Below are 26,670 nucleotides of genomic sequence, written 5' to 3'. Positions count from 1 at the left end.
TGTTTGCTGCATTTATAGTCATCATCAACAGTGAGACAAAAGAAAAAAGCAGGAGTTAATTAGATGAGTACTATTACTGCAGACATTGGGGACCTAGGGAGCTTAATAAGCCCAACTTCTTTAATTTACGAATGGCAAAACTGAGGCCCAAGGAGATAGACATTTACTGCTCAAGACCACTCAGCTTTTTAAGACAGAGCTCAGAAGTTCTATTTCATTTTTAGCCACAAGGAACTTGAGACACACTTGGGTTGAGTAAGTGCTGACCAGAACAAGGCACATATATGAGAAATAAGGAAGAGCTGAAACACTTGGCCTCCAGTGCAGTAGGGCCCAGAAAGTGGATCTGTACATGAAGTTCCTCCAGATACATCAGCAATAGGGGTTTGAAGACTTTTGCTCATTCATCTGATGCTCCACATACTGTCCTTTCTCTTTCTCTTCCAACACATGTCATGTTCCTCCCTAGGATATTCGTTGTTGGGTGAATACCTAGCATCCTCTTTTTATGCTTTAGGGACAACCCAGTCTTTTTTTGTGAATTTCTTTCCCACATGGTAGGGAGACACAATGAGGCTGATAATCAGTTTCTTCTGCTGTCTCTTGAGAGCAGTATGGGCATATGACCTAAGCTAGGCCGACTGAACTCTTATTCTCCCACCACCACCACCCCAGACAATGAGTCTTGAGTAGAATGATGCAAAGACGGGAAAACGTAGGTGGGGGTTCATTCATATCAACATAGTGAAGCAGTCCTGGTACGACCATAGTTCTTGTTACTCCATAGCTACTCCACACCTGCCCTGTGTCCTTTCCTTTTCTGAGCCTGGTTCTCCTATCTATCTGTCTATCTATCTATCTATCTATCTATCTATCTATCTATCTATCATCTGTCTATCTACTTACCTACCTATCTATTTAGAAACAGGGTATCACTGTCACCCAGGCTGAAGTGCAGTGGCATGATCACAGATCACTGCAGCCTCAACCTCCCGGGCTCATGCAATCCTCCCCTTCAGCCTCCCAAGTAGCTGGGACTATTTCTGGCAAAATTTTGTATTTTTTGTAGAGGTAAGGTTCCACCATGGTGCCCAGGCTGGTCTCGAACTCCTGAAATTAAGTGATCCTGCCCACCTCAGTCTCCCAAAGTGCTGGGATTACAGCCATGAGCCATCACACCCAGCCAACCCTTCCCTTTTATTTTGCAGACTGTTTTATATCTTTCTAATGAATTTCTTTTCCCTTAAGGCTTGGCCATAATGAGTTTCCTATATCCAAACAATCTACACCAATAACTTGTGTTAGATGTTTGTCTGCCTGCACAGAGTTTCTGTTTCTTCATGGTGGTTGTTCTCTGGTACTTTTAGCTTGTCCATGGTTCATCATGGCTTTCCAAGCCTCAAATATAGCCATGAGTATTAAACCTTAGTGTAGGTAACAGGGAGCATGTGTCAACCATGAGTCAGAAATCTGGACCTGGAGTCTTAGAATCTGCACTTTGATAAGTGCAGGTGATACCTAAAATATGCTGCTTTATATCATGCACTCAGCATTTGTTCCCACTCTGCTGACTGCCTTCTTGTCTCCCTATTTCCCAGTTCATATTCCTGCAAGAGGAGGTTGGCTGGCCCAAGCCTTCTTCACCATTCCAGCCCAACCAGCCCAAGGAATAGGGCGGGTGCCCACAAGAGGTCCAAATGGCCATGAGATGCGGCACAGTCACATGGACCACATCAAGTTGCCCCAAATACGGTCTGTGATATGATCTTACTCACAAGAGGCTAGGTGGCAGGCAATGCATTTGATGCCACAAGATCTGTGAATAAGAGAGCAGGTCCCTGACTACCTTTCCAATCATTCTTTCTCCTACCACCCTCTGTTCAGAAGATCTCTACAACTTGATTCACTCTTTAAAAATAAGATCCAAGAGCTAATAAAATTTGTTTAAATGAACAATTCTCCTATCTAGGAGGTACAGACTTCTAATAAATAATCGGTAAGCTGATTACTAACCACTGGTATTCTCTTATTAATCACTTTAATTACCACCTCCTGAATCTTCTATGCAGCAAAACTCAAAAAACTCTGCCTCTTTGAAGAATGATAAGGCTTTTGTGTGGAGCCCCAAACTTCTTTATAGAAACATTAGCTCTTAGAGTACAAGAGTAGGTCTCCTTTTTAAAAAAACATATAACCAAAAAAGCCCAAGCCTACAAAGATTATAAATGAGAAAAAAAATCATTTTTTTGAATTTTTTTTAAATCTATCATATGAGGTTACTTAAATTTCCTCTACGTGGGTAAGTTCATTTACTTGTTTCTTCCTGGAATCAATATATTTGAAGGCTTGCTATGGAGAGGCACTTGGCTAGGAACACAAGATGTTTGAGATATGCTCTTTGCTCTCCAAGAACTCACAGTCTAGGGGTGAAGATACATATAGTAAAAGAGCAAACAATAATACACCATTTGAATTGATGTACAAATATATAAATACAGTGTTATGAGCGTAGAGAGAAGGAAAAAGTCACTTCGTGAAAGCCATTTGAACTACATCTGAGAAGATCAGCAAGGTAATAAGATGAGGAGAGTGGAGGCCAATTAAGGTAGATCCAATTGTCAGAGCAAAGCCATAGAAGTGAAGGATGTGGACATTAGAATAATCAAGGGGAAGGATGAGTTCAGAAACTGTTGCTACAAAATATTTTACGCTGAAGAAATTCGGGAAAAAAGAAAAACAGGAAGGTCACTCTGACCTTCTCCCACCCTTCTCCTCTAAGGAGCTCATTCAAGAGATGCCTTTTCTTTACTTCTAAGAAAGAAACATCTCTTTCTTTCATCTGAAGATAGAGACACAGAGAAGAATCTAAAGAAATAGGTCTTGCTAAGTCCTCCCCCTCCCCCAGTTTATTACCATTCGATCATATACTTTTTTACCAATCATACTTCTCTACGACTATCCACTTCTTTATCAAAAACCTAAGCATTAAAAAATACACAGAGTTATCTGCTTCTTTGCGTCCCTATTCCCTTATGAAGACTCTCATGTTACATCAAATCTATATTGGATAAATGTGTGTGCTTTTCTTTTGTTACCCTGTCTTTTGTTATAACAGGAGCCTAGTGATGGGTGAATAAAAGATATTTCTCCTCCTATACAGGAACATGAGAATACTGGACAGCAGGATAGAAGTTGGTAAGACGGCCATGAAGGACCAATACATTTCGGAAATGAAGAACCATTGAAAGTTTGTGACCCACTGACTACTTTCAAGAAATAACTTTGAGAAGGGATTAGAGGATGGTTTGAGAAAGGAGAACCTGGGGACAAAGTGACCATACAGGAAACTGCCTTAAGATCAGAAGAGAGATTTGTAGAAGCTGGGATAGGGAGAAGGGAATTGATTTCAGGGATATTTCAGAGGCAAAAAGACTGAATTTGGTTGCAGAATCTCATAGTGGTGAACAGAGCTTTGGAGTTGGATGAACCTGAATGTAAATTACAGCTCTGCCATTCACTAAGTGTGTAACACTGCAGATGTTACCTCATCTCTCTGAGTTTCGTATTTCTCATCTTTAAAATGGAAATAGTGTTATCAAGAGAGGATTAAATAAGCTAATGGTGTGAAGTACTTAGTATAAATTAAGGATCAACATAAAGTGAATGCTCAACAAATGTTAGCTAGTATTTTTACTATCGTTGTTATTATTGGTATTATAATGAATAATTGATGGAGAGAAGGGAATAGGAAATAACTCTCTAGCTTAGAAGTCTGGTAAATGATGATACCATTAACAGAGATAGGCAATAACTATAATAGCTAGCATCTACTGAGAGTTTACCACATACCAGGCAGGATTCTAAGAGGTTCACGTACAAAATGTCCTTTACTCCTCAGAGAATCCCAGATGTTATTATTATCCACAGTTTACAGAGGCAAAACTGAAGCATAGAAAGCTTAAGCAGCTTGGGTCACACAGCTAAGAAATAAAGAAACACAGGCACTTCCAGAGCCTGCGTCACCTCCACTCTACACAGAAGAAGGCAAGAGAAGTTCCAGGATGCGCTAAAGGGAAGGTAAGAGGAGAGAAGTTTGCGTAGTTAGTTTGAGTTTAATGTGGTCAGAAACACTTAAATGGAGTAGTGTAGTAATAAAGTTGGAAATGTAGGCATGTTCTTAAGTCATTTTTCTTCTCAAATGGAAGACCAAGGAACAGAAAACCCAAGACAGCAAATCATAAAGATTGATCATCTAATAGAAGACTGATCAGAAATGCAGAAGTGTCTCAAAAAGTACTCCAGAGAGAAAATATGACTAGAATGATATAAGTTTGATTTCCATGCAACTTCTTAGGAAGCAATCCCTGTGTGAAGCAGGAAAGTCTCTGTATTACTCCATTCTACTGATATTTTCGCCCCCAATGTAAACCATGAGATACACGGTCAGAGTCCTAGTGTGCTTCCTTAAGTATCACTATTTCCATGAAATAAAAGGGACACCAGGAATTTTCCTTCTGGGGATGTCATCAGGAGGTTTCAGATGGCAGAGAAAGGGAGCATGTGGCTTCCCTACCAAGGGCTTTATCATGAGCTTTTGGGAAATCTGCAGCTGGCATGCCCAATGTGGTTCTGAACCACAGCGCTCACTTGGCAGCCCCTTCTGAGGGAACATCCAGATTCAGTGAGCCTTCCTGCTGAGTGATTTTTGCCCCTGGGCATTCTCCTTCACAGAGCACTCACTGAAAGCTGCAGGGAAGTTGAGCATCTCAGCTGCTAGTCCCAGAAGCTTGACTGATAAATTCCTGCCCATCCTGAACTTGTCTTTATTCTTTAACCCCCAAGCATTTTGCTTCAGTCTTCTACAGGAATATCCTTTTGCAACTACCTCTGGTATCTGAACTGTTTTCCTGTAGGGTGGATATCATCTGGATTATCTGCCCAGTCCACGACTTACTTACCCTTTCTGAGGCTGCACATGCATGCACACACACACACGCGCCCACGCACACACACACGCACGCGCGCGTGCGCGCACACACACACACATTCCTCTGCAAAGTTTGTACCAAATAAACCCATTCTCCAGTTCTGACTGGACCATGGATGTACATATGACCCAAGATCCATCAATCAGATTCTCTCATCTGGACATTTGAATTCTCTGAATGGTGTGAGCTGATCACACCATTTTGAGGAGTTCCTTTTGGCGTAAATAGATAGATAGATACAGAAAGCAGATGGCCAGGGAGCTCCACATCCTCATTCCAGTCCCTTATAAGACCTAACTGCACGTACTGCTTTTACATTCTATCCTATACCCCTGTATTTTTTCAACGTTACCTCTTTTTGAATTAAATTAGTTCGAATCAGTATCTATTACTTGTAACCTAAAGAGCCATCACTAAGACATGCAGTAAATAATTTTGCACAAATGCAAATATTGCTGGGAATGTCACTCTCTAAAAGCCCAAGATAAGGCAGAAGTAAGCATTTTCTCACTAAATAAATGTTCAGCCAAAATAACAATGATGATGATAAACTGAATTGTTTATACCTTTTATGTTTTGAAGTGTGCCTACTAGTTTACGTTATTCAGTCAGGAAAGTTAGGACTGCATTAAAGATCCTGTCTGTAGATGATGAAACTGAAACATAGAAAAGCACTGTGATCCTTCCCAAGTGAGGCCTCTCTTCTTTCATCAACGTAGATCTTCTGTGTATTCATGTTTGGAATACATGGTTTGAAGATTTATGGTGTTATTTGTGATGGATAATTGAGATGGAAGGAACATTGATTTTGAAAAGCTAATCATCATTTGATGTTTTCTTTTTTGAAAGTAACATAGAAAGCTGAATTCCTCTGAATCTGCTTACTGTGAGAATAACACATATTCAAGTTCTCCTTTGGAGAGTAGTTGTCAATGTTGTCAGAGAACAGAGCTATCCTTTAATATGCAAGATTATTGGCTACACAAAATTCAGAGTGTGAAAAATAAGCATTCTGTTCATAATACATTTGCAAAAGCACAAGACTGTATGTATTGTATTTTTACTATTTTTTTTTTACTTTGATGATACATAGACGTAATGCTGCACCTCCTAACTCAATAAGCTGTTTTCAAGTGGTTTCTCTCTACCCACCAACTTCCCCTCCCTACTGCTCTGGGCTTTGGTAACACTTGATATTTTTATGCTTGCCTGCTTCTGTCTCAATGCATATGTTACATCAATATCTGTTTGGCCATACTAAGCTGTGAACTTATTAAAAGCAGGAACTCTGTCCTTTGTCTCTGTATTCTTTCTCAGCACCTCCTACAACATCTAGTACCTAAGGAATTATTGGCTGTTTACTGAATGACCAAAAAGTGAACATATACCATCTACCCAAATAGACCATAGATGATCTCTAGCACGAAGAGTGGATCACCTTAGACTTTCTGGATATCAATTCTTGTTTATTAAATAAGTACATGTTCTTTCACTCATGAAATACATTTATGCTAAATGCTATGAAGAGAAGAATAGAAACAAAGTATCAGACATTATTCTTACTTTGACAAAGGTTACAGAGAAAATACTTACACAAAACATGTCATGGCAGTTATCGTCGTTGTCATTATCGTCTTCATCATTAGCCTACTTATTGATCATGTATTATTTGTCAGGTACTGCGTTGTTTGTTACATGCTTTTCATTTAATTATCACAAGTTCTTATAGGTTACATGCTATTACTATTCCCATTTTTATAGATTAAGAACTGAGGTTCACAGAGTTTTAAGTAATGTGCTCAAAGTCACGTAACCAACAAGTGGAAGAATGAAGTTTCAAACTCAAATCTGCTCATGTCTAGAGTTCATACCTATCCAGATGCCAGAAAGCTATACCAACACTAAATATACTAAGAGGTAAGTCAAGGGAGAAAGCAATGAGACAAGATCAAGAAATTCTTGATAGGTCTCAGAGGATTTCAACCTGAGCATCTTTACCCAGACATAAGGCATATATGGTACAATTACAGCAGCTCTATGTAGTTTTTCAGCAAAGTCGTTAAGTGAAAATACAATACTGTTTCTATAATATTGGAAAGCTTGATGATGAGCCAAACTTACTGCTGAAAGTTAAATGGGAAGGCTCCCAGGCATCGTGGCAGAGAACGGGGCAGGACTTGCTGGGATTTATTGTTCCCTGAGGAGAGCAGCAGCCCCAGCACCACTAATCAGATTATACATCAGCAGAGTAATCACTGTTGACTCTTCCAGACACAGAAAGACAAACAAGTGGCTTGAAAGTATACAAAAGCAGAGGCCTGTAAGCTCCCTCATCTCGCACAAGAGAGCTGTGAATCACCTCGGTAAAGGATTCATCATCGTTAGGTGTCACCCGGGTCACAGCAGAGGTGTTAAGTTGTATACAGAATGGCTCACAGCAAAGATACAAAAGGCAGAAGCCAAGAAGAATAGAGGTGCTAATAACATTGAAAAACTATTAGTGGGAGTGAAGTCTCTTCATGGGCATGTTTCCTTGAATGATATGGATTGGAGAGAGCTCTGAATCTGGAGTCTAGAAACCTGAAATTTAGTCCCAGTTCTGCCAATAACTACCCTGTAGGATTTTGCTGAAATGCTCTGAGCATTCATTTCCCCATCTTTCAAAAAATGGCATACCTCATTTATTGCATTTCATATTATTTTCATTCCAAAATAGTGCTTTTCTTTTTTTTTTTTTTTTTTTTTGCAAATTGAAGGTTTGTGGTAACCCTGCATCCAGCAAGTCTATCGGCACAATTTTTCCAATAGTATGTACACACTTCATTTATCTGTGTCACATATTGATAATGCTCAAAATACTTCAAGCTTTTTCATTATTATTATATTTGTTATAGTGACTTGTGACCGGGATCTTTGATGTTACTATTATAATTATATTGGGGCCCATATCAGATGGCAAACTGTATCCATAAATGTTGTGAACTGTTCCACCAACCAGCCATTCTTCCATCTCTCTCTTGGGGACTCCCTATTCCCTGAGACATAATACTACTGAAATTAGGCCAATTAATAACTCTACAATGGGCTTTAAGTGTTCAAGTTTGAAAGAAAGAGTTGCATGTCTCTTACATTAAATCAAAAGCCAGAAATGATTAAGCCTAGTGAGGAAGGCATGTAGAAAGCCAAAATGGGCCAAAAACTGGGCCTCTTGCACCAAACAGCCAAGTTGTAAATGCAAAAGAAAAGTTTTCAAAGAAAATTAAAATTGCTCCTCCAGTGAACACATGAATGGTAAGAAAACAAAAGTCTTACTGTTGATATGGAGAAAGTTTGAGTGATTAAACCAGCCATAACATGCTCTTGAGCCAAAGCTTAACCCAGAGCAAGGCCCTAACTCTCTTCAATTCTTTGCGAGCTGAGAGAGGTGAGGGAGCTGCAAAAGAAAAGTGGGAAATTAGCAGAGGTTGGTTCATGAGGTTTAAGGGGAAAAAAGCCATCTCTATAGCATAAAAACGTAAGCAGAAGTTACAGCAAGATATTCAAAGGATCTAGCTGAGATCATTAAGGAAGTCACTAAACAGTGTATGGATTTTCAGTGTATACAAATCAGCTTTCTGTTGGAAGAAGCCATACAGGGATTTGATAGCTAGAGAGCAAAAGTCAATGCCCGGCTTTAAAGCTTCAAAGGGCAGGCTGACTCCCTTGTTAGGAGCTAATGCCACTGGTAACTTCAAGTTGAAGCCAATGGTCACTGACCATTTCCAAAATCCTACTGCCCTTCATCTAGAAATGAAACAAGAAAGCTTAAATGATAGCATATCTGTTTTCAGCATGGTTTGGTGAGTATTTTAAGTCCACTCTTGAGACCTACTGCCCAGAAAAAAAAATCCTTTGAAATATTACTCCTCATTGACAATGTTACCTCAGAACTCTGATGGGGATGTACAAGGAGATGAATGTTGTTTTCCTGCCTGCTGACACAGCCACCATTCAGCAGCCCATGGATCAATAAGTAATTTTGACTTTCAAGTTTCATAAGAAATATATTTGGTAAGGCTATAGCTGCCATGGATAGTGATTCTTCTGATGGACCTTGGCAAAGTAAATTAAAAACCTTCTGGAAATAATTCACCATGCTAGATGTCATTAGGAACATTTGTGGCCAGGAACAGTGGCTCATGTCTGTAATCTCAGATCTTCGGGAGGCCAAGGCAGGTGGATCCCTTGAGCCCAGAAGTTTGAGACCAGCCTGGGCAATATAGGGAGACTCCATCTCTATAAAAAGTTTTTTAAAAAAAAGTCAGGTGTAGACCCAGCTACTTGCAAGGATCACTTGGGCCCAGTTGAGGCTGCAGTAAGCCATAAGCATGACAGTGCACTCCAGCCAGGGGAAACAGAGCAAGACTCTGTCTCAAAAAAAAGAAAAATAATAATAATAATAGTATGATTCATGGGAGGAAGTAAAAATAGCAACATTAACAGAAGTTTGGAAGAAGTTGATTTTAACCCTCATGAATAACTTTGAGGGGTTCAAGACTTCAGAGGAAGAAGTAACTGCAGATATGGTAGCAACAGCAAGAGAATTAGAATAAGTGGAGCCTCAAGATGTGCCTGACTTGCTGCAGTCTCATGATAAAACTTCAATGAATGAGCAGTTGCTTCTTATGGTTAAATAAAGAAAGTGGTTTCTTGACCTGGAATCTACTCCTGGCGAAGATGCTGTGAAAATTTGTTGAAATGACAACAAAGGGTTTAGAAAATTCTATAAACTTTGTTGATAAGGCAGCAGCAGGATTCGAGAGGATCAACTCCAATTTTGAAAGAAGATTTACTGTGGGTAAAACCCTATCAAACAGCATGGCATGCTATGGAGAAATCTTTCGTGAAAGGAAGAATCCATCAAGGAGGCAAACTTCATTGTTGTCTTACAAAATTGCTGCAGCCAGCCCAAGCTTCACCAAACACATTCTGATCAGTCAGCAGCTATCAACATCAAGGCAAGGCCCTCTGCCAGCATAAAGATTACTACTCACTGAAGGCTCAGCGATGATTGGTAGCATCTTTTAGCAATATAGTATTTTTTAATTAAGGTATTTACATTGTTTTAGACATAATGCCATTGCACCCAAATAGACTACAGTATAGTGTAAACAAAACTTTATATGCACTGGGAAACCAAAACATTCATATGACTTGTTTTATTGCTATATTCTTTATTTATTTATTTATTTATTTATTTATTTTGTGGTGAGGTGGTGATCTGGAATCAGCCAGCAATCTCTCCAAGCTATGCCTGTAAGTGGTTTTCTGATTAATCCTTTTATTTCTTATATCTTTAAAAGCTCAATTGATTACAGGTGCAAGCCTGTTATTTATGGAAATTGTGATAGATTGAAAATCAGCACCCCTGGGTTTACCACCTGAGAAATTTCCTTCCCTTCCCTGAGCCTCAGTGACCTGATTTCTAAAATAAAAACATTTTATTAAGTGACCTCCAAAGCCTGTTTTAGCTATTGGAGTCCCTGAATCCACATTTTTTAAATCTCACAATATGAACTTCTATAAGAAATAACATAGGTGATTGTTTTCATTCTAAGAAAAAGAAGCATTTTTCTGCTCACCTAGGAGTCAAATGGAAGTAAAATTTTGAAATAAAAACACCAGAAAGATAGATCTGGTTCAGACGATATTAACCAATCTATGTCCTTACCCACAAGGGAAATGTATGAGCTGGATTTTTACAAGCAGAAACAGAAATAATATATCTAAAACTTCCTGTTGAGAATGCAAATGCAAATCCAGGTTTTCTGGCTCAAGTTCAGCTGTGCAGAGTCACCAAGGTTAAAGCTACTGAAAACTTCACGGGCACTAACTCAAGCATAATGACGATGTAAATAATAGCATTTCTTTATCCCACTGTCTCCTTTCCCAATACATGGTAATATTATGTTTGTTTGTACATATGTGTATTTAAAGCATACCTCAGTAACTCTGACTGACAGATTTTGGCAGTGCTCTGTGACAGACACCAGGGGAGATGTATGTTAAAGTATCCAAGTGAATTTTCAAACAGACTATTCAGTAGGAAAATTCAAGATTTATGCACCATCTCCACATCTGTGGGAAGCAACATTCACTCAATAGTTAAGTCAGAATACCAGCTACTACTAAAACAATTCTAATTTTGAGAATAATATTTTTAAACATTTTTTAAAGCAGTGGTATCATCAGAAACTTGAGATACCTAGCATTTATGGAGATTCCCATGGGCCATGCAGTGTGCCAAGCACTATCTAAGCAAACATGCATGACCATCATCCATTTAGATGGCTGATGTAAACTTATTCTCACTTTAAAGGTACAAAACTGAAATCAGGAGGGGATTTGCCCCAAGTCACACATGTACTCAGCTTCAGGACTGGCTTTTGAGCCAAGGTGTGGCTAACTTCAGAGCTCTTAAATTCTGCATAGTGGCTGCGCTCTTGAAGTTCTTGCAGGCCTGCTATTTAGTCACTAGACAAATATGGATGATTTACTGCAAAACTCCCCCAATCCAGCTTCTTCAGCTGGAACACAGAAACAAAAAATAACAATAAAATCTTTTTGTCTTTCTTACTATAAAGGACAACATAAGATACTAAGATCTAAATTAAATCAAACTACACCATGCCTACAACAATGGAGGCAAGCCAAGTTCCATTTTCATGCCTCGATTTTCTCATCTATCAAGTGGTTAAAACTGCCTTAGAGAGGTGTGGTGAGAATAACGTTTTTAATATGAAAATCTTTGGAAAGTTTTGAAAACCTTTATGATGTTATAATTATGTTAATTACTTTCATTATCATTTAAACATAATAAGATATCATGTAGTAGTTTGAGAGGAAAAACAATGCCTTTTCTCCATATATTTTATTTTTAAGTTATCTTCCTTCAAACTGCATCTTATACAATTAGGCTTTTTAGAAGCCTGAAAAATTACTTGTTACAAGAAAGAATACTTGCATCCAAAGGAAATTGTGTGGTTACTCAATCATTCCAACCACCTATCTTTGAGGGGTAAATTTGGAGGAGACAACGCTATCCAGGGAAGTTGTCAAGAACGTTTTCAGTCAGCATCATTTTGGCTCTGAGGGTGGTAGGACCAGCAATGCCTCATCCACGAAGCAGTGACACAGATGGGAAGCATGAAGATCTGGCTGCACGAAAAGTGAAATCACTCTAGCGTACAAAATGCATTACAGTTTTATAAATATATTTTGCTGTTTTATATATGTAATTAAATACAGGCCACATTCATGAGTTTTAACTTTGAAATTTACAAGGAATAGGACATTTGATGCTTAGAATGAAAAGTTCATAGGTTTTGGCTAAGAGCCAGGTAATCTTTCTATGGCATGGCAAGCGGGCAATTACTAAATTCAGTCTGTCTAGCCTCCAGTCCAAATACTTTTTTTTTTTAAGTGTGCAGATGTGGTGCCTGATCACAGCTATTTCCTCTTGAGTACTGACTGAATTTCACTCTGTGGTATGAAATGTAAATCTTCACAATGTTAAACTTACTCATAAAAATTCAGACTCAGTTTTATTTGTTAGCAGACGCTAACAAACAAAGCCAAGTGAAACTAGCTAGAAGTAGCAAAGATTAACAAGTTTGGTTTAAATAACGAAATAAAGCTCAATATTGAATTTGTTTCTTGCCTCCCCAAATGTGACAGTCCAATTTTATATATACTCACATGAATAGTTTATTCTATTGGATATGAAAATAGTGCCAACGATGTTATATGGGTTAACAAAATCTGAGTTCTGGGCAACCGTGTGACAGACACCATTGGCTGGCAATCTAACAGTCATTTCTCCCTTTCTTCCTTGCTAAGAGAATCCCAATTTGTCCAACCTCCTTTGGGTGACCACATCCTTCAGGGAGGCTGGGTTATTCCAAAAAGTCTTGAGTATTCTTATCAAGGTAGTTTTATTATCCTAGGCAAATTAACTGCTTTAGGCTTAGACTCGTGACCCAATTTTTGCCAATATGATATAAAGTACAGTCTGTTTGGGGACTTCTAGAAATGTCTTCCCATTCTAAATAAAGGAAAAAAAAAACTGGATGTCCCCATTTTCTAATTGGTCACCACTGTCTGGGCTGCTGCTTTGAACTGTTTTCAACTTTGGTAGCTCACGTAAGAGGACAAGCCAACATGCTAAGAAGGGTAGAGAGGAAAAATGGAAAGAGAGTTAAGCCTAAGAGCTAAGTCTATGATTCAAGCCACTGAACTGTTGGATTAACTAACTTTGGAACCTAACTCTAAACTTATTATAGGATGAGATAATAGATATTCCTGCAGGTTATATCACTTTTTTGTTGTTGTTGTTTTTCTGTAATTTGCAGTCAAACACATCCTGTTATATACTTCCACCCTCAAATTTAAAATTCCAGTTCTGCCATAAGCCCACTACTGAAAAATAATGCAGTCACCCACACTAATGGCTCCTTCCCTCTGTGTTATATCATTGGGGAAGAAACTGGGTCATAGGAGATACAGTTCTTTCAGCAATTTTACTTTAACTGCTAAACAAAAAGTGGGGCTGACTTTATTAAGTTTTCAGGAAAGACAAATGGTATGAGACAGAGTTTGACCTTAACATGTAATTTCTGCATACTGACCCTTTCCTATAGTCATAATGCATATTATCATATTGAAGGCTCTGATAAGTCTTGCAGCAATAAGATTTAACTTTATTGCACTTATCAGGGTTTGTTTCCCAAACATATTTAGACAAAGAACTCCTTTTTATTCACATAAAACTTTGATCAAGCAGAATAAATGCCCCTCAAAACACATTTTGAGAAGCATTAATTTACTATAAGAATTTTTACTTAAGTACATTGGGACAAAATGTAGTGAAGAAACTTCACCATTTAAGCTTGACTGTTTGTAGAAAAATGTTTTAAAATGAGAACAGCTACCAACTGTTGAGTGCTTACTCTGAACTGGGCACTGTCATAACCTCTTTAACTTACCAAGTACAGATACTGTTAGGAACCTCATTCAATATGTGAGGAAAATGAGGCACAGGGAGAAAGGCCCTATTACTCCAGATATAAACTGCTCACATTGTCCATATTTGCAAGAAGGAAGAACTTTATCTTAAACTTCAAACTAACATCCAAATCCTATTGCTAGACAAGTATTCTTCACACTCATTTAAGTTGGCCATGAGTAACTTGGCAAACCCTATCAGACGACCATGCCTGGGAATTCAGTCTAAACCGTCATCTTAAAACCTGGGCTTACGGATGTGGCCATTTCGGTATGATTTGGAAACATTTCTAATTAAAGACACAGTTGGACTGAATTTAATCCTAGCACAAACAGCTACCACCCTCTTCTTGTAGCATTTGCATTTTTAGAAATCCTCTGGGCTTTAATTTTTTTAAGGCCCATAAGACTTCAGTAGATCTTTCACATATAAAAGATAGCTGATGTTTAAAAGGTTTCTCAGCATGTCAGTACAACCATAAGTTCCTTGAAGATAGGGAATGTATTCCAAAATGCTGAGGATATAGTGGGCATAAAAATGAGTATTTATCAGTTGGTTTCTACTGTGCCATGTTCTTATCAGCCTTTCTAATTAGTATATTTTAAACCTAATATTTTCACATGATTGTCATGTAGAAATACATCTTCTCATTGAAGCACAGTGAAGGTCATAAAATAAAGGCAGAATATCCTTGTACCTAGAATGCTTTAAAATATTTTTCATAGTTTCTTATTTGTCACTTGGCTAACAATCAAGTAACGAAATGCCATTTTAATGCCCTAAGTAAACCTACATAGACAAACACTATGATAGAGAGGGGCATTTGGGCATGGACTTAGATGATCACAAATAGAGAATATCAAGGAAGAAACGCAGCTAAGCTTTAGATGAAGACACTATAACCCTTACAAATACAGTATTTGCTTCTAAGGTCAAAAGGTTTGGCCTACGAAGTGCATTATTTTTCACATTAAATTCCAACATTCTCCTTCCCACAAAGTGTTGATTTGAGGCACTTTAGAAGGAAGGTAAATTTCTTATAAATATAACACAACCACTTCCATTCATGTGGTGCTTTGCAATGTGTTTTGCATTTATTTTTTATTTTTAAAAAGTGTCTTACTGTTCCAAAATGGAAAGATATACAGATATTCTTGTATTGATGTTATTTCAAATATAGGTGGAGATAAAGAAGGCTCTTATCTACGTAAGCTTCAAAACAACTTTGAACAATGAGATCACATGGACACAGGAAGGGGAATATCACACTCTGGGGACTGTGGTGGGGTGGGGGGAGGGGGGAGGGATAGCATTGGGAGATATACCTAATGCTAGATGATGAGTTAGTGGGTGCAGCGCACCAGCATGGCACATGTATACATATGTAACTAACCTGCACAATGTGCACATGTACCCTAAAACTTAAAGTATAATAAAAAAAAATAAATAAAAAAATAAAACAAGAGGACCAAGAAAAAAAAAAACAACTTTGAAAATTAAGCTGAAGGCTAAGGGTACAGTGGAGATGAACAGACCCAATTTGCACAGGGTGTTAGGTATGTCTTCAATTTTTATTTGCTCATCAGTCCTCGAAATATCACAATGATATGCACTGTTACAAAGCTACAATTCTACAACTCTAGCAGGTCCTCCAAAAGGTGTCATCATTATACCTGTACAACAGAAGTATTGCTCACAGCAGTGGGTATCAGGAGATTTCACTCGCTCCTCAAAAGAACATGGCAGAACTGTCACAGGAATGTCAGATGCTTTTGCCTCTGACCCAGGCAGTTACTATTAAGGCTATAAAGAGGGGGTAAAAATACCATAACAACTAAAAAAAAAAAAAAAGTGGAGCCATCTTGAAAATGTGAATTCTATCTAAAAATAATAAATTGAAATGCCTTTAAATTGTCACAGCTTCGTGCAAGGCCGATGAAGACCTAGAGAAACATCACAAGTTTTACATGAGTCCTTAACAGCAGATGTGCCAGGTTGCTGAGTTTGATGTAAGTTCCCCAAATAAAATGCTCTGCAAAGTATTCATGTCTATCATCTTCATTTATGCTATTATTAAAATATTTGTTGAGCTATAACTGACATATGTGAAACTGCATATATTTAACAAGTATAGTTTTAGAAGTTTTGACCTATGGAATTAATTCTACCTATGGAATTACTTAATTAATTCTACAAGGAGGATGATGAACATATCCATCAGACCTAAGAGTTTACTTGTACCTCCTTCCAACCTAGGCAACCACTGACATGACATGTTACTATGGGTTAGCTTGCATTTTCTGAGATTCTATATAAATGGGCTTATACAATACGTATTTACTTTTTGTCTGGTTTCTTTCACTCAGCATCATTTTGAAATTCCTCCATGCTATTGCTTGCATCAATAGTTTGCTTTAGTGCCAAGCAGTTTTCCATTGTGTGACTATATCACAATTTGTTTATCCATTCATCTGTTGCCGGCCATTTTTTTTCCCAGTTTTGGCTATTACAAATAAAGCTGCAGTGAATATTCATCTACAGTTCTTTTATGTGGACATACGCTTTCTTTACTCTTGGCTAAATACCTAGGAGGACAATGGTTGGATAATAAGTGATTTTAAGTTTAACTTCTTCGAAAACTGTTAAACTGTTTTCCAAAGCAGTGGTAGCATTTTGTATTGTCACTAGTAGTGAGTGAGACTTCCATTTGCTCCACATACTCACCAATACCTGGTATTTTCAGTTTCTTTATTTAATTTTGGCCTTTCTAGGGGTATGTGTTGGTATCTCCTTGTGGTTTAAACGTGCATCTCCCCCGGTGACTAATGACATTGAGCATCTTTTCTCATTTTCCATTCACGTTCATGTTCCTAGGTGAAATGTCTGTAAAAATCTTTGCCCCATTTTCATTGGGTTGCTTCTCTTTTTGAGTTACAAAAATTGTTCTCTTTTTTAATATAGCCTGGATACAAGTTATTTGTTTATATATGCTTTGCAAATGTTTTCTCCTCTTCTGTGCACTGACTTCATTTTTTTAACCGAGGCTTTTAGAAGAGCAAAAATGACTTCTTCCTTTATACTTTTGTGTTCTTTTTGTCATATTTTAAAGTCTTTGACAAAGTCAAAATTACTAAGATATTTCTCCTATTTTTTTCTTCAAACAGTTTCTAGAAATCCATTTGTTTCTGTTGTTGCTGCTGTTATTTTTAATACATGTCTGTACTCATACCATGGTAAGTTGTAAAAAAAGCTCTTTCCTTTCTTTCATATCACCTGAAAACTTGTTCTCTGTAATAGAGTTAGGCCAGAAGGTGATCTTCATTTTTTTAATAGGATGAGGAATTCTCCTATCCCCTTCTTTTGAAAAATTTACACAGAAAAAGAAGGGGGAAAAAGTGCAACATTGTATAAAACATGTATGGTCATAAAAATTGCTGCTGAATTCTAAGAAGCCCCCTGTTGATATGAGCAATGGTGTAAATGTTCAAAGAAGTCTATGGGATAGTGAACTGTTTCCCTGTAGTGTGTCAGGGCTATATAAAAATTGATCCTGGCTGAAAAGAAGGAAGATTTTAAAGATTAAAAATAGATGTCATATTAAATCTTCTGAGATGGTATTTAAAACTGAAGACTAAATAATTTAAAATTTTGGATAAGTTGTTTTCTGCCTTCCTTTTAGAAGTACTTTTCCCCCTGGTGAGTCATAAAATTATAACTGCAAAGTGGTATGCTTTTTTAACTTTTTGAGAGATATCCTCTTACTGAAATATAAAAATTATGTATGTGTTCTTTTGGTAATGACTTTTTCTTTTTAAAAAGTAATAGATTTAGGAAGCACAAGGGCAGTTTGGTTACGTGGATACACTGTGAAGTTGGGAAGTCTAGGCTTTGAGTGCAGCCATCACCTGAATAGTGTGCATTGTATCCATTAAGTATTATAATTTCTCGTCCCTCCGGCACCACCCTGGCACCCTTCCAAGTCTACATGTCTATTATTCCACTTTCTGTGTCCATGTGTACACATTATTTATCTGACATTTATAAGTGAGAACATGCAGTATTTGGACTTTCTGTTTCTGAGTTACTTCACTTAAGATAATGAGTTATTTCACTTAAGACAATGCAGTATTTAGGTTTTCTGTTCCTGAGTTATTCCACTTAAGATAGTTCCATTCAAGTGGCTGCATGTTAGTTTTTTAACTTTTTTTTAAAAAATGTATACTTTAAAAGAAGGATATTCTTACTGAAATATAAAAATTATGTGTGTGTTGTGGCTAACTAAAGTCATGCTGGAATGGTGGTAACTGGCTTGGACACCTACCAAATGAGGCTCAGGATTCTACTGGGGAGGGAGGGATCACCCTAGAATGCTTGAAACTACAGAAGATGCCCTTGGGGCACTGTAGCCTTGATCAGGTACCTGAAGGGGCAATAACTACATTGTGCCTTTGTCCAGGGTAATGACAAGGCTCTGATGAAGCTGCAAGTTCTTGGAGATCTGCCCAGACTAGCTTCTGTGAAGAGGATATCCAGTTTGTTTTGAGAAAGATGCCCTAGCCCTTTACACAACATTTTTTTAACACACGAAGTTTTGCTATAGGTTTGTTTTCTGATTATAAAAACACTTCAACTAACAACGAATGCTGGATCCCGACATTTTCCCAGACTATGACTATGTTATACACGTAAATCTTGCTCACACCAGACCAGTCATGTTTTCAATTTTAATGGCAGTCTACTAACAGACCAGGAAAAGTATTTCACAGCTATGTCAGTTAATTCCCTTGGTACAGCATCTGACATTCTATGGTTCTCAGTGAAGTACTTAATAAAAAATTTAGGGCAAACAGGAGGATAGCCAAGCTATTCAATAGATGGCAAAAGAAATGTACACAGTGTACATTACCATTTCCTTACAAAAGCATAGCATCCTTTAACTTTCACCTACAATTCTGGGAAAGAATTCTATTCAAAGTCACTTGGCTGTTGGCTGTCTCTTTAACAGCAATGTTATTGGATTTTTAAAAGTAAGTTTCTCACATTAAAATATTATTTAATGTCGGGGCACGATTTCAAAAATTTCAATAGGCTATAGAGTTTTCCATGAGAGTGTGTGTGTGTGTGTGTGTGTGTGTGTGTGTGTGCTGAAGAGAAGACAACACTTGAATTGCAAGGCATTGTGTCCTGAGCATTGTTTCACATTGATTTCACATATTATTTTATTTAATCCTCACAACCTCTCTGACTGTAGATATTCTTATTCTCTTTGTATGGATGGAAACTAAAGCTGTCGCAGGCATTACTCACCTAGGAAAGGGTAACTCATTAATTTCCTCTTCTTCTCTCTTAAGAAACTGCACCATCAGGTGCACAAAGCTGTTGGTGCTGGGAAAGGCAGACAGCCCTCCACCTTTCTCAGTAGCTGCCATGAATCCATTAACAAGTCCTGTTGCTTCAATCAAATGTTTGCTGCCCTTGAACACAACTGCCTGGCTCACATTATTTCTTGCCTTGGCAAACAGTCCCATTCTAACTGGACTTTCTACCTCTTGAGCTTCTCCTCTCCAACTCATCCTCCATGCTTCTCTATCTTTTTATGTCACAAATCTAACGATGTATTTCTTCTGTGTTTAAGCCTTGGATGGTTGCCACCTGTTGGCAGAATAATGACCTAACTCTTGTCAGCTTCACCTCCAGCCTTCACTGGCAAACCTCCTGTCACCAGCCATTCCTTAAACGTGTTCACTTCCAGATGGGAATTTTCCATCATAACTTATTTACCTACCCAATGCTCAATTCCCTCACATTTCTGTCCTCCTTTCAGTCTCCCCTCCATAACACAGTGCCTGCTACACCACTGATGCTCAAAAAGTAGCAATTCCTCCTCTTTTTACCTTCCCTGTTGCAGTCCCAGGACATTTTGCTCCCTAGCACTGGCCTACAGTCCAGTGAACAATGACAAGTGTTCACTTACCTGGCTCCCTAGGCAGACAGAAATCCCTATCCAGGCTTTTCTTACCATCTTTCCATTCATCTTACTACCTGGCATAAGGTCTGGTATGTCACAAATCTCTAATAAAGTTTCTCTGAATTAAATAAGGACTTCGGCAGAGAGGTCGCAAATCTTGAAGATTTGCAGACCCTCAATTTATTGGGCCACATTCTGGGAGTGCCTGTGGAAACCTGCAGTTTTGGTAGTGGTCTTTAACAATGTACCGTCTCTTCAACACAGGATGACCCATTACATTAAAATCCTTTTGATCCAAAAATGTTATTATTCTGTAAACTGAGGCCCCAAATATCAAGGAGGTTATATCACCTTGATTAGCATGAACAGCCTCTAATACTATATAGTGAGATTTTCACAACAAATGCCTCTGTTGGGTCCTCTCTCTGACTCCAAACCTTCCTCTTGCAATCCAAGTCTCTCTACAGAAAAGTTGCAAAAAAAAACCGAAATCAATCATATGATACACTCATCACCCCCACCTTTATTCCCTGCTAAGAATATTTATGTACTTTCCGACCCTGCAAAGATTTTCATCTTGAGTAATTTGCTTTGAAAGTAACAATTGTGAAAATGGACTCTATTCATTCTGTTGAGAGTGATAAGCTGAAATAACGATCGCGTGTTGTGACCCGTAAGTCAAACCCACAGAGACGGAGCAAGGGTCACCTGCAAAAAGACGTTAACCTGAGAGCATTTCAGTAGGATGTTTTCACATGTCTACACAGAAATCACTTTTGGTTTTGGTTTTTGACATGGGAGCAGGTTTCTAAATATTGAGAATTGTGGGGGCAGGTAGAAGAGGAGTCTAAAGAGTTGGTATTCAGGAAAAATAGTTCATTTTTAAGAATGAGGCAGAGAATACAATCATCAGAATATTAAAATCTTTGATTCTTCTATTTTTCTGCCAATCACTAGACACTTTGAGGCTCCTTCTGGCAAACAAAGAAAAAAAAGAAATAAAAGGAAACGCAAGCCATGTTTATTAACTAGCAGATCCCTTAAAAGCATATGATAAAAGATAAGGCAACAGTAAATAATGTAAGTAAAATTTGGAGAGTTACCTGCTAATTCATCGATGCTCAAGAAGAAATTGGGGGACCACTCACTGATACTGTGACCCTCCCAGCTTCAATAGATATCACCTATGAACAAACACACATAGTACTTAATATGTACCAGGCATGTTCTAAGCATTTTACAAGTATTAACTCATTTAATCTTCATTATTACTCATATTTTACAGTTGAGGAAATTGAGACACAGAAAAATTAGTGACTTGTCCAAGATCACACTGCAGCAATTAGGGGTTCAAATCCAGGCCCTCTGGCTCCAGAGTCTGTGCTCTCACCAGTATATCACACTGCCTGAGTTCATATTTCATGCTCAGCTTTGTGTTATGTAGTTTATAGCCACTATGTTACTTAATCTTTTCACTCATCATGCAAGACGGTTCCCTTTTTGTTGTTGTTGTTGTTGTTGTTGTTGTTGAGACGGAGTCTCGCTCTGCCTTGCCCAGGAGTGCAGTAGTGCGATCTTGATCTCAGCTTGAACCTCTGCCTCCCGGGTTCAAGCGATTCTCCTGCCTCAGCCTCCTGAGTCACTGGGACTACAGGCATGCACCGCCACATCCAGCTAATTTTTGTATTTTTAGTAGAGACAGGGTTTCACCATGTTGGTCAGGCTGGTCTCGATCTCTTGACCTCGTGATCCGCCCACCTTGGCCTCTCAAAGTTCTGGGATTACAGGCATGAGCCACCATGCCCGGCCCGCAGGACAGTTTCATATCTCTTTTGTACAGATGAGAACACCGAGGCTAGGTGAAATTTAAAAAAAAAAAAAAATCTGCCAAAGGAAGACAGCTTAATAATGTGCCATGTACGTGACAGACCTGGGGTTCAGAATGGTTTATCTGATGGCAACGCCCAGGCTCTAAACAACTACACTGTGCTATAACCTTGGGTGAGGGAGTCAGTATCCACATCTATAAAATGGGTATAATAACAATGTTCCTAACTCACAGGGTCATTATAATGACTGAAAAAGATGAAAATCATTTTACAAGTTGCAAAGAAAAAAAATCATTTATACAATTGTGAGGAGAGAGTAGAGTTAGCATAAAAAGAAAGTTAACATCAAATGACTGAGTTGAAGTATATTCATTAATTCATACAACAATATCTTTGAACCTTTGCTAAATATCAGGCAATTGGCTAGGTTGTGGGCACCGAATAGTGCCCAGAAACAACAAGCAGGGCTCCTGCCTTCAAGTAGGGTTGCTTCTAGTAAATAAAGAAAAGACAAGAAAGGGAGATGAAATTCATGTCTATTAAATGGCTGATCCCTTGAAAGTATATGATGGAATAATCCATCATAATATAGTCACATAACCTAATTATTGACATCTGAAGCCTCCTCCAACCCTGAGATTTTCAAGCTGAGTTTTTAGCCTCATGACAAGAGATAATCCTAATCTTTCTTTAATTCACTGAGACCACTAGCCTAGAATTCCCAGCCACTTTTCTATTGATTTTAGCAAATTCTAAATAATAGTCTCTATAATAATTACTGTTCACATTTCTTGCTATTTCAGGGAAGGGCCACTACTTAAAGCTGAAGTTGCTTCCTCTATCTGCACTCTGAATCCTATTTTCCCTGACCTGCTTCTCCCATATTCACCACTCATCAAACCAACATGAAAATTCATTTTTTGTCACCTGACATCATTCTTATCCATTTCAGCTAACTTAAGCCTCTTTTCAACTAAAATTTAAATCACTCCAGTTATTAACCCATATCTACTTTAAGCCATTTTTGTTTTTTTCTTTTACTCACAAATCTCTCCCATATACAGACTGGTTTTGCTAGATCCCTTCATTTCCTTAGGCACGGTCATCATTTCTTGCCAACTGCTTCTATCATCTACTTACTGAGACCTCACATGAGGCACCAGTTTATTTGGCCCTACTAAAATGGTCTTCCTAGTCAGGCACAGTGGTTCAAACCTGTAAGCCTCACAGTTTCAGAGTCTGAGGCAAGAGGATTGCTTGAGGCCAGGAGTTCTAGACCAGTCTGGCACCCTGGTCAACATAGTGAGATCTCATCTAAAAAAAAAAAAAAAAAAAAAAGAAAAAAAGGGCTGGATACAGTAGCTCATGCCTGTAATCCCAGCACTTTTGGAGGCTGAAGTGGGTGGATCACTTGAGGCCAGGAGCTTGAGACCAACCTGGGCAACATGGCAAGACCCTGTCTCTAGTAAAAATACAAAAATTAGCCAGGCATGATGGTACATGCCTGTAATCCCAGCTACTTGGGAGGCTGAGGCCTAAGAATTGCTTGAGCCTGGGAGGCAGAGGTTGTAGTGAGTCATGATCGCACCACTGCACTACAGCCTGGGCGACAGAGCAAGACTCCATCTCGAAAAAAAAAAAAGATCATCTTCAGTTCTCATACTCTGCAACTTAACTTGTGAATTTTACACAGCCCTTTTTGAACATTTTCCACTCCTTGGTTTCCCTAAGGCTGCATTAAGATGGAGGAGTGGTGCTGGAGTCAGAGAGACTGGGGATCCAGGACTGACTCAGCCACTTCCTAACTGTATGACCTTAGACCAATTACTTAATGTTTCTAAGTCATCTTTTCTTCATCTCAAAAACAGAAACCTGTTCTCACTCATAAAATTGTTCTGAGAATTCAAAATCTATTGTATGTCAAGCCTAGAGAATAACATCTCACTAAGTGTTAGCCATTATCATTATTCTTATTACTATGGCTCTGTAATGACTACAGCTACAACTGCTGCTGCTGCTAGTATTATGAAGGGGCATCTTCTGGCTCTTAAATCATTCCTCTTTCTCCTACACTGGTTCTTCTTCATTCCATCCTAACAGCAGGGATCTTCCATGATAAGCCCTCAGCCACCCACTCTCAGGGAATGCATCTTTGCATCTACTATAACTGCCGTTCAATGCCACATGTGAATTGTTTTTAGAACACCTCCATTTCATTTGGCTAGGTTGACATCACCACCAGTTCACCATTGTCAACAGCATAGTCTCCTCCAGATATCATCAGTCTCTGTGAGATACCATATCTCCCTTGGAGCCTCACACATGAAAGCTGGGAGTCCTTCAGTATCATTTTCTTTTGCATTTCCCCATCACCAATTACCACACTTTCAGTGCTTTATCTTTGCCGTATTTTTCTGATTCTTCTCTCCTTTCACTCTGGCTTAAGCCATTACTGCTTGCTGAATGATCAAGATTTTCTCGGGCCCTGTTCTCTTTACTTTGGTGATGCATTCACTACCAATGTCAGTTTAATGTAAATTTCATCATCTTGTGATCTGTTTAAAAGCCTAAAACTATTTGCTTTTGAATCAAGGCCAGACTCTTCACTTTGACATCAACTCACCCACCTTTCCTCTCCATCATTTTCTCTAGAAACGGCCAAATGGAGACTCCACTTCATTCTGAGTCTTTTCTTTATTTATTTGCCCCATAAATCATGTTCATTTAAGTCCTCACAGTTGAGCTTATTTTATTCTTCTCACCCAGATCCTTATGTCCTTTTGAATAATCAAGTTTACACTTTCTCCAAAGTTCTCCATAAAGTCTACCATTGTGTACGCATGCGTGTGTGTAAGGAAAGGGAGGGGAGGAGGGGAGACCAAGTTTCCAGACAAACTTTGGGTCAGACAGGCCTGAGTTAGAGTCCTGTCTTTTTCCTGACAAGCCATGTGACCTTACACAAGTTGCTTAGATTCAGTGGAAGATCCCTGCTGTTAGGATGGAATGAAGAAGAACCAGTGTAGGAGAAAGAGCAATGATTTAAGAGGCAGAAGGTGCCCCTTCGTAGTACTAGCAGCAGCAGCAGTTGTAGCTGTAGTCATTACAGAGCCATAGTAATAGGAATAATGATAATTGCTAAGATTCAGTTTCTTCATTTGTAAAACACATATTACATACAGCAGCAGTTCTCAAAGTGTGGTCTACAGGTCTATGGAGCAGGAATGGGGAGGAATATCTTCAGATTTTATCAGGGAGTCTGGAACAACAAAACCATTTTTATAATAACACTAAGGTATTGTTTGGCTTTGTCACTGTCTTGGCATTTGCATTGATGGTGCAAAAACAATGGCGGATAAAACTGCTGACACCTCAGCCTGAATCCAGGCAGTGGCACCCAACTATACTAGGGATCATTGTATTCTTCACCACTTAGTGCTTGTAGTGAGAGAGAAAGAGAGAGAGGTAGAGAAAAGAGATGGAGGGAGGGGGAATATTCATTTGTGCTGAATGAAGGAGTAAAAATGATTAATCATATTAAATCCTGACCCTTCAGTGCTAATCTTTTTAATACTCTCTGTGATAAAATGGGTGGTATACATAAAGTACTTCTGCTGCTCACTGAAGTATAACAGCCGCCTCAAGAAAAACTGTTTGTGCAACTGTTTGAGTTGTGAGCTGAACTATTGACCTTTTTCAAAAGGTACCAATTTTACCTGAAATAATGACTGAGATAAACTATGATTATTGGGACCTGGGTATTTGGTAAACATTTTCTTGAAAATGAAAGAAGAGAAACTGTCATTTCAATGATAGCAACTGACAGCATTTGTTGCCAAGGATAAAATTTGATATATTAAGTGAAAATTGGAATTTTGAAAAACTTACATCTGCCAATGTGAGCAACTTGACAGCTTCCTAATATGTAAAGGCTTTTCTGATGAGATTAGTGTTGATAGTAACACATGTGACTTTTAAAACATATATTATATAATGAAATGTGTCAGCATTTGGAGAGCTACATAATTCAGTGAGCCAGCATTTTCCAAATGACCAATGTGTAATGTTACAACCTTAAGCATAGGCAACATGCAAGACAATCAATGGATTTCAAGTTAATAGAGTAAAAAATGAATATATCTCAGATTCCACAATGCAACTAACTTTTCAGAAACTTCTACATTTTTGGTTTTAACTTAATATCAAAAGACAACATTCACAATTATCTGCAAAGGATATTAAAATGCCCATTCCCTTTCCACTACATACCTATATGAGACCAGATTTTCTTCATATACTTCAACCAAAACAACATATCACAATAAATTGAAAGTTGAAGTAGATACAAGAATCTAGATATTTTCTAAGTCAGATGTTAGAGATTTGTAAAAAATATTAAAACAATGCTGCTCTTTCCACATTTAAAAAAATGTATAAATTATAGTATTTTTATAAAATATACTTTGTTAACATATATTTTATGTTATGGGTTATGGGTTAATTATTGTTATTTTAAATGAATCCATCAATTTTTAAATGTTTTAGTTTTAATTCTTAAAACAGTAAATATCTATCTATCTATCTATCTATCTATCTATCTATCTATCTATCTATCTATGGCTATGTATAACCCACATAAATAAAAGTTCTTTGGGGTCCTCAATAGGTTTTAAAAGTCTAAAGGGTTCCTGAAACCAAGAATTTCGATAATTGTTGTTACAGAGTTGTTTTGAAGGTTAAATGTGCTTCCTTATGTAAAATGCCCAGCATAGATCCTGGTAGCTAGTGGGTGTTCAATAAATATTAGTTTCTTACAAGCATTTAAGCATAATCTGTACTAAAAGA

At 38.1% G+C, this 26,670-nt stretch overlaps 1 protein-coding gene across 4 annotated transcripts in view; it reads right to left on the bottom strand.

The window, feature by feature from the left end:
• SGCD (sarcoglycan delta) overlaps window positions 1-26,670 on the bottom strand; it is a 1,039,957-nt gene that overhangs the window by 876,262 nt on the left and 137,025 nt on the right. For 2 of the 4 annotated variants that reach the window (XM_047417519.1, XM_047417518.1), the window contains exon 2: window positions 21,103-21,183. The exons of the other annotated variants lie outside the window; for them this stretch is intronic. The gene's annotated coding sequence lies outside the window, so the exon portion shown is untranslated. The remainder of the gene's footprint in view (window positions 1-21,102; window positions 21,184-26,670) is intronic. 4 annotated transcript variants of the gene reach the window in all.

The sequence above is a fragment of the Homo sapiens genome, chromosome 5 (assembly GCF_000001405.40).
Source record: "Homo sapiens chromosome 5, GRCh38.p14 Primary Assembly".
Taxonomy (NCBI): domain Eukaryota; kingdom Metazoa; phylum Chordata; class Mammalia; order Primates; family Hominidae; genus Homo; species Homo sapiens.
Note: the sequence above shows the minus strand (reverse complement) of the source record. Positions and strands in the feature narration are given on the sequence as shown.